This window comes from Homo sapiens, chromosome 3, assembly GCF_000001405.40.
Source record: "Homo sapiens chromosome 3, GRCh38.p14 Primary Assembly".
Lineage (NCBI taxonomy): Eukaryota > Metazoa > Chordata > Mammalia > Primates > Hominidae > Homo > Homo sapiens.
Genome location: NC_000003.12, coordinates 149993086 through 150001113, shown reverse-complemented (window position 1 = coordinate 150001113; position 8028 = coordinate 149993086). Strand labels below are relative to the sequence as shown.

The 8028-nt window shown below is 37.8% G+C and overlaps 1 pseudogene; it reads right to left on the bottom strand.

Annotated features, from left to right (window-relative positions):
* Window positions 1–223: 223 nt before the first annotated feature.
* On the bottom strand, window positions 224–1531 carry HNRNPA1P24 (heterogeneous nuclear ribonucleoprotein A1 pseudogene 24; annotated as a pseudogene).

Below are 8028 nucleotides of genomic sequence, written 5' to 3'. Positions count from 1 at the left end.
TTGTGTATGGTGAGAAATAGGGGAACATTCTTTTGCATATGGATATCCAGTTTTCCCAGCACCATTCACTTTTTAAAAAAGACATATTTATTCAGCATCATGTTCAGACAGACTATTACATCTGGCAATCAACAGCATGAGTGGAAAAAATCTACATTAAACCCCTTTTGTTGGGATGCTTTACACTTTCCACAGAACAGAAACATTAAGCTGTTATACAATTAGTCACAACTACATTCCTCAAGTTTTTTTCTAATACAGATGAGTATTGTCTAAAACATGTCCCTTTTTTTGTGTGTGTGGTAGCTAGGCCCTGCCACCACTGTGCTTGGCCCAGTTCACAAATCCTCTTGTAACCTATAGCTTCCTTATCACTTCTCTAGCTTTCCTCTACTGCTAAGCTTTGTTTCCTGGCAGTAACTAAAATCTTCTGCTACTGCTGTAGCTATTGCTGCTACTGGAACCACCACAGCTGCCTTGGTTTTATGGTTTGGCAAAGTATTGGCCTCCACCACCATAGGAACCAGAACTTCTGCCTCCAAAGTTTTCTCCCTTCATGGATTCAAAATTTGAAGACTGACAGTTGTAATTGCCAAAATCATTGTAGCTTCTGCCACCTCCAAAATTGCTTCCACTGCTAGCATTAATGCTGCCTCTGCCTCCTCCATTGTTATAGCAGTCATAGGTGCCAATCCTGCCATAGCCACTGCCCTGGTTTCCATAACCCTGTTCACCACTTCTGTAGCCTCTGCTTCCTCCTCCAGAGTAACCAGGGCTTCCTCCTCCCTAAGCACCAACATTACAGAATTCATTATAACTATGCCCACTGCCACCATATCCACCACCACCACAGCTGCCTCTAAAGCCTACACAACCATTAAAGTTTCCTCCATGACCAAAATTGTCATTTCCACCAAAACCACCTTCACAGCTACTACCAAAGTTTCCAAAACCACTGTGACCTCTTTGGCTTCGTGAAGCCATCTCTTGCTTTTAAAAGTGCTTTCCTTACTTCCCATTATATCCATTCACAGTATGGTGTTTCTGAATGACAGTCTTATCCACAGAGTCACGGTTGTCAAAGGTTACAAAAGCAAAGCCCTTTTTCTTGCCACTGCCTCAGACAGCCATGATTTCAATCATTTAAATTTTCCCATTCTGTTCAAAATAATCTCTTAGGTGATGCTCTTCAATGTCTCCTTTAATAGCACCAACAAATATCTTTCTCACAGTTAAGTGGGCACCTAGTCTTTGGGAATCTTCGCTTGAGACAACTCCCTTTGTTTCCACAACTCTTCCATCTACTTTGTGTGGCCTTGATTCATGGCTGCATTCCCCTCCTCTAAATTGGCATAGGTGACAAGCCCAAAGCTCCTGGAGCGCTAGGTGTTTGGATCTCTCGTTACCACACATTCTGTGAGTGTTTCCCATTGCTCACAATGGCTCCTCAGACTCCCGTTGGTTGTTTCACCAAGCCTTTGATGAAGACCTTCCACAGCTGTTTGGTCTCTTTAGGAGACCCTGACTTAGAGTGGCAGATGGCAGATGGCAGAATTAGACAGATGGCAGTGGGAAGATACTTAATGATACTTTTTCCACAGACAGAAAAGAGTAAGCTAACAAACGTATATCTCATTTATTATTTGTTTGTTTTTATACATTTAAGAAATACAAGTGCAATATTGTTACATGGATATATTGTGAAGTGGTGAAGTCAGGGCTTTTAGTGTATCCGTCACCCAAATAATGTATATTGTACCTGTTAAGTAATTTCTCATCATCTACCCTCTCACACTCTTCCACCCTTCCCAGGTTCCATTGTCTCTCAGTCCACGTATATACATTATTTAGCTTCCATTTGTAAGTGAGAACATGCAGTATTTGTCTTTCTGTGTCTGACTTACTTCACTTAAGACAATGGCCTCCAGTTCTATCCATGTTGCTACAAAAGACATGATTTCTTTTTTATGGCTGTATAGTATTCCATTGTGTATATATACCACATTTTCTTTATCCATTCATCCATTGATGGACACTTAAGTGATTCCACATCTATGCTATAGTGATTGTAATTTTGTGCTGTGATAAACATGCAAGTGTAGGTATCTTTTTGATATAATGATTTATTTTCTTTTGGGTAGATACCCAGTAGTGGAATTGCTGGATCAAATGGCACTTCTATTTTTAGTTCTTTGATACATTTCCATACAGTTTTCCAAAGAGGTTGTACTAATTTACATTCCCACCAACAGTGACTGGCATTCCCTTTTCTCTATATCCTTGTCATCTGTTATTTTTTGTCTTTTTAATAATAGCCATTCTGACTGGTACAAGATGATAGCTCATCATGGTTTTAATTTCCCTGATGATTAGTGATGTTGAGCGTTTTGTATATGCCTCTTGGCCATTTGTATGTCTTATTTTGAAAAATATCTATTAATATCCTTTGCCCACTATTTAATGAGATTATTTGGGGTTTTTCTTGTTATTGATGAGTTGTTTGAGTTCTTTGTAAATTCTGAATATCAGTCTCCTGTTGCATGCATAGTTTCCAAATATTTTCTCTTTTTCTGAAGGTTGTCTGATCACTCTGTTATTTTTTCTCTGCAGAAGCTTTTTAGTTTAGTTAAGTTCCATTTGTCTATTTGTTGTTTTCGTTGCTTATGCTTTTGAAGTCTTACTCATAAAATCTTTCCTAAACCAATGTCCTGAAGTGTTTCCCCTATATTATCTGTTAGTAGTTTTATAGTTGCAGGTCTTATATTTTAAGTGTTTAATCCATTTCAAGTTTATTTTTCATCTATGGTGAGAGATAGGGGTCCAGTTTCATTATTTGCATATAGATATCCAAGCACTATGATTGAAGAAGATGTTCCTTCTCCAATGTCTGTTCTTGGCATCTTTGTTGAAAATCAGTTGGCTGTAAATACATAAATTAATTTCTAGATTTCCTATTATGTTCCATTGGTCTATGTGTCACCAATACCATGTTATTTTTGTTACTATAGCCTTATAATGATGCCTCCAGATTTGTTCTTTTTGCTTAGGATTGCTTTGGTTTTCTGGGTTCTTTTTTGGTTCCATATGAATTTTAGGATTGTTTTTTCTATTTCTAAAAATAGCATTGGTATTTTCATAAGAATTGCATGGAACCTGTAGATTGCTTTGGGCAGCATGGCCATTTTAATGATATTAATTCTTCCAATTCATGAGCATATGATGTCTGTCCATTTGTTTGTGTCCTCTTTAATTTATTTCATCGTAGTTCACTAGTTTCCATTATAGAGGTCTTTCACTTCCTTAGTTAAATTTATTCCCACATATTTCATTATTTTATAGCTATTATAAATGGGATCACTTTTTTATTTCTTTTTCAGCTGGCTCGATATTGTTGTATATTAATGCTACTAATTTTTGTATATCGATTTTGTATCCTGCAGTATTACCAAATTTATTCATCAGATCTAAGAGTTTTTTGGTGGAGGCTTTAGGCTTTTCTAGATATAAGATCATGTCATCCGAAAAGAGGAGCAGTTTGACTTCCACTTTTCCAAGTTGGATGCCTTTTATTTCTTTTTCATGCCTGATTGTTCTGTCTAGGACTTCCAGTACTATGTTCAATAGGAGTGGTGAAAGTGGTCACCCTTGTCTTGTTCCAGATCTAAAGGCCTTCAATTTTCCATTTAGTATGGTGTTACCTGTCATATTTGGCCTTTATTATTTTGAGGTATGTTCCTTCTATACCCAATTTGAGGAGGTTTTTCTTTTTTTATCATGAAGAGATGTTAAATTTTATCAAATGCTTTTTCTGCTTTTATTGAGATGATCACATAGTTTTTGTCCTTTATTCTGTTGATGTGTGTATGTTGAACTGTACTTGTATCCATGAGATAAATACCACTTGATCATGGTGTACTGCTGGATTTTTGGGGGTCATATTTGTTGAGGAATTTTGCATTTAAATTCATCAAGGATATTGGTCTGTAATTTTCTTTTTTATTGCAAACTTGTCTGGTTTTGATATCAGGGCAATGCCAGCTTCATAGAATAAGCTATGGAGAAGTCCTTCCTCTTCAATTTTTGGAATTGTTTGAGGTGTTAGTTCTTCCTTGTAATTATGGCAAAATTTGGCAGTGAAGATATCCAGTCCTGGACTTTCCTTTGTGGGGAGACTTTTGATACTGAATCAATCTCATTACTTGTAATTGGTCTGTTCAGTTTCTCTCTTTATGATTCAGTCTTGATAGGTCATATGTGTCCATGAATTCATCTATTTCCTCACAGTTACCTAGTTTGTTAGTGTATGGTTGTTCATAGCAATCTCTGATTATCTTATGCATTTCTGTGACAACAGTCGTAATGTCTCCTTTTTCATTTCTGATTCTATTTGTGTCTTTTTTTTTTCTTAGTCTAACTAGTGGTTTGTTGATTTTGTTTATCCTTTCAAAAAACAGACTTTTCAGTGTGTTGATCCTTTGTATGGTTTTGTAGTCTATTTCATTTAGTTCTGCTCTGATCTTTATTATTTCTTTCCTTATTTTCTTGCTCTTCTAATTTCTTAAGGTGAATTATTAGAACTTACTGGGGATCCTTCGACTTTTTTGATGTCAGATTTATTGTTATAAAATTCATTCTTATCACTGCTTTGGTTTTATCCCATAGGTTTTGGCATATTGTGCTTTGATTCTCATTTGTTTCAATTTTTTTGAACTTCTTCCTAATTTCTTCCTTGACCCAGTGGTCATTTAGGAGCATGTTTTTAAATTTCCATATAATTGTACAGTTTCCAAAGTTCCTCTTCTTACTGATTTCTAGTTTTATTCCATTGTGGTCTGAGAAGATACTTGATATGATTACAATTTTTAAAAATCTGTTGAGACTTGTTTTGTGTCCTAATATATGGCTTATCCTGGAGAATATTCCATGTGTTGATGAGAAGAATGTGTATTCTGTAGCTGTTGGATGAAGTGTTCTCTGTCTGTTTGGTCCATCTGGTCTAATGTGCAGCTTAAACTCAATGTTTCTTTGTTAATTTTCTGTCTAGATGATCTGTCTAATACTGAGAATGGGATGTTGAAGTCCCCAACTATTATTGTGTTGGAGTTTATCTCTCCCTTTAGATCTAATATTTGCTATCTGTCTGGGTGTTCTGGTACTGGGTGCATATATGTTTAGTATAATTATATCCTCTTGCTGAGTTGATCTCCTCATCATTATATAATGACCTTCTTTGTCTCTTTTTACTGTTTTTCACTTTAAAGTCTGTTTTGTCTGAGATAACTATAGCTATTCCTGCTTATTTTTGGTTTCTGTTTGCATGGGATATCTTTTTCTATCCCTTTATTTTCAGTCTATATGTGTCTTTACAGGAGAGATGAGTTTCTTGGTGGCATGTAGTTGAGTCATGTTTTTTAATTCATTCAGCCACTCTATATCTTTTAAATGGACAGTTTAATTCATTTACATTCAAACTTTTTATTGCTATGTGAGGGCTATTCCTGTCATTTTATTAATTGATTTCTGGTTGTTGTGTATATCCTTTGTTCTTTTCGCTCTCTCTTACTATTTATCATTGTGGTTTAGTGGTTTTGTGTAGTAAGAACATTTGAATTCTTTTTCTTACTTATTTATGTGTTTGCTCTCCAGTGCATTTTATACTTTTGTATGTTTTAATGAGGATAGATATCATCTTTTGCTTCCACATGTGGGATTTCCGTACGCATTTCTTTTTCTTTCTTTTTAAATTTTCTTTCTGTTTTTGTTTTTTAAGAGATAAGTGTCTTGCTATGTTGCCCAGGCTGGCCTTGAACTCCTGGGCACAAGTGATCCTCCTGGCTCAGCCTCCCTGGTAGTTATGACTATTGGTATGCACCACCACATCTGGTCAAGTATTTCTTGTAGGACCAGTCTAATGGTGAAGACTTCCTTTAGCTTTTGCTTCTATAGGAAAGACTTTATTTCTCCTTCACTTATGAAGGATAACTTTGCTGGGTATAATATCTTTGGCCGACAATTTTTTTTTCCTTTCAGCATTTTGAATATATAATCTCATTCTCTCCTGAGCTATAAAGTTTCTGCTAAGAAATCTGCCATTGGTCTGATGAGGCTTCCCTCATAAGTAACTATATACTTTTCTCCTGCTATTTTTACAATTCTCTCTTCATCCTTGACTTTTGACAGTTTGACTGTAATGTGCTGTGGAGAAGACCTTTTTGAATTTTATCTGTTTGGAAATCTCTGAGCTTTCTGTGTCTAGGTATTTCTTGCTAGATTTGGGAAGTTTTCAGCTAAATTTTCAGCTAAATTTCATTAAGTAGGTTTACTATCCCTTTTATTTTCTCTTCACCTTGTGGGACATCAAAAATCCAAATAATTTGGTTGCCTTATGGTGTTCCATATGTCACATAGGCTTTGTTCATTCTTTTTTCTTTATTTTTGTCTGACTAGGTGATTTTAAAAGACCCTTTTTTGGCTGGGCACGGTGGCTCACGCCTGTAATCCCAGCACTTTGGGAGGCCAGGGTGGTTGTATCACCTGAGGTTAGGAGTTCGAGACCAGCCTGACCAATATGATGAAACCCTGTCTCTACTAAAAATACAAAAATTAGCTGGGTGTGGTGGCATGTGCCTGTAATCCCAGCTACTTGGGAGGCTGAGACAGGAGAATGACTTGAACCCGGGAGTTAGAGGTTGCAGTGAGCCGAGATCACACCATTGCACTTCAGCCTAGGCAACAAGAGGAAAACTCCATCTCAAAAACAAACAAACAAACAAAAAACCTTTTTCAAGTTCTGAAATAATTTCTTCTGTTTGGTCTAGTCTATTGTTAAAGCTGTCATATGTATTTTGTATTTTATTCAATAAATTCTTGCATTACTAAATTTATATTTGGTTCTTTTTATGATATCTATGTCTTTAGTAAATTTCTCATTTATGTCCTGAATTTTCTGATTTCTTTGTATTGTTTTTCTGAGTTCTCTTATGTCTCACTGAGCTTTTTAAATATTATTTTGAACCATTTTGAATTATTTTTCTGAGATTTCATAAATTTCTTTTTCATTGGAATCTGTTGGTGGAGAATTATTGTGTTCCTCTGGAGGTGTCATATTTCCTTGCCTTTTCATGTTTCCTGTGTTCTCATGTTGATATCTGTGCATCTGGTATAATGGTCACTTCTTCCAATTCTTTGAATTTGCTTTCATAGCGGAGGACTTTTTCCTGATGATGTCCCTGTGGCATTGGTTGGTAGGGTACTTTGACTTTGAATTAGGGTGTATGCAATAGTGTAGTCTCTTTTTGATTTCTTTGCCTATAAACAGTGTCAAGAGTGTCTGTAGTTCCCTCAGTGGCTTAGGGTGTAATCATTAACGGAGGGAGTGGTGAAGTTTTGTTGGAGACAGGGACATCAGGTGGGCCAGCCATTGGGTCCCAATGGTGGCGGCAGCATGCCAAGCATGCCTGTCCTTCACTCCCAGGGAAGTATATACTGGCATTGTTTTTAGCAGGTACAGGTGAGCCAATTCTTGGGCCTCCAGGCTGCTTACTTGGGAGCCAGTAGTGGCAGTGGTGGGTCAGGCAGGTGGGTGGGTCCTTGGGCCTCTAGGCAGTGGGTGTAGTGTGGCCAATGACAGTAGCAGTAGTGCGACAATTCTCTGGTTCCCAAGTGATGTTGACGGTGGCTGTGATAGGCTGGGTGAGCCAGTCCCCAGGCCTGAAGGTGATACACATGGGTGAGTGCCAGCTATGATACTAGCAGCAGGTTGGGTGGTCTGTTCTCTGGCCTCCAAGAGGAGTCCTCACATGCCAATGGTGGTAGACGGGGAAGGGAGATCCCCAGGTTCCTGAATGGCGTGCCTGGGCACTGGTGGATACGAGCTGGGCCATGTAGACCTGTCCTCAGGCCCCTTAGAGGTGCATGCAGGTGCTAGCTGTGGTAGGCAGGGGTGAGATGATCACCAGGCCTCTGGCTGAAATGCTCAAGTAGGGGGAAGCTGCAGCTATGCTGCAACTCTGCTCCTGTGAAGAGCAG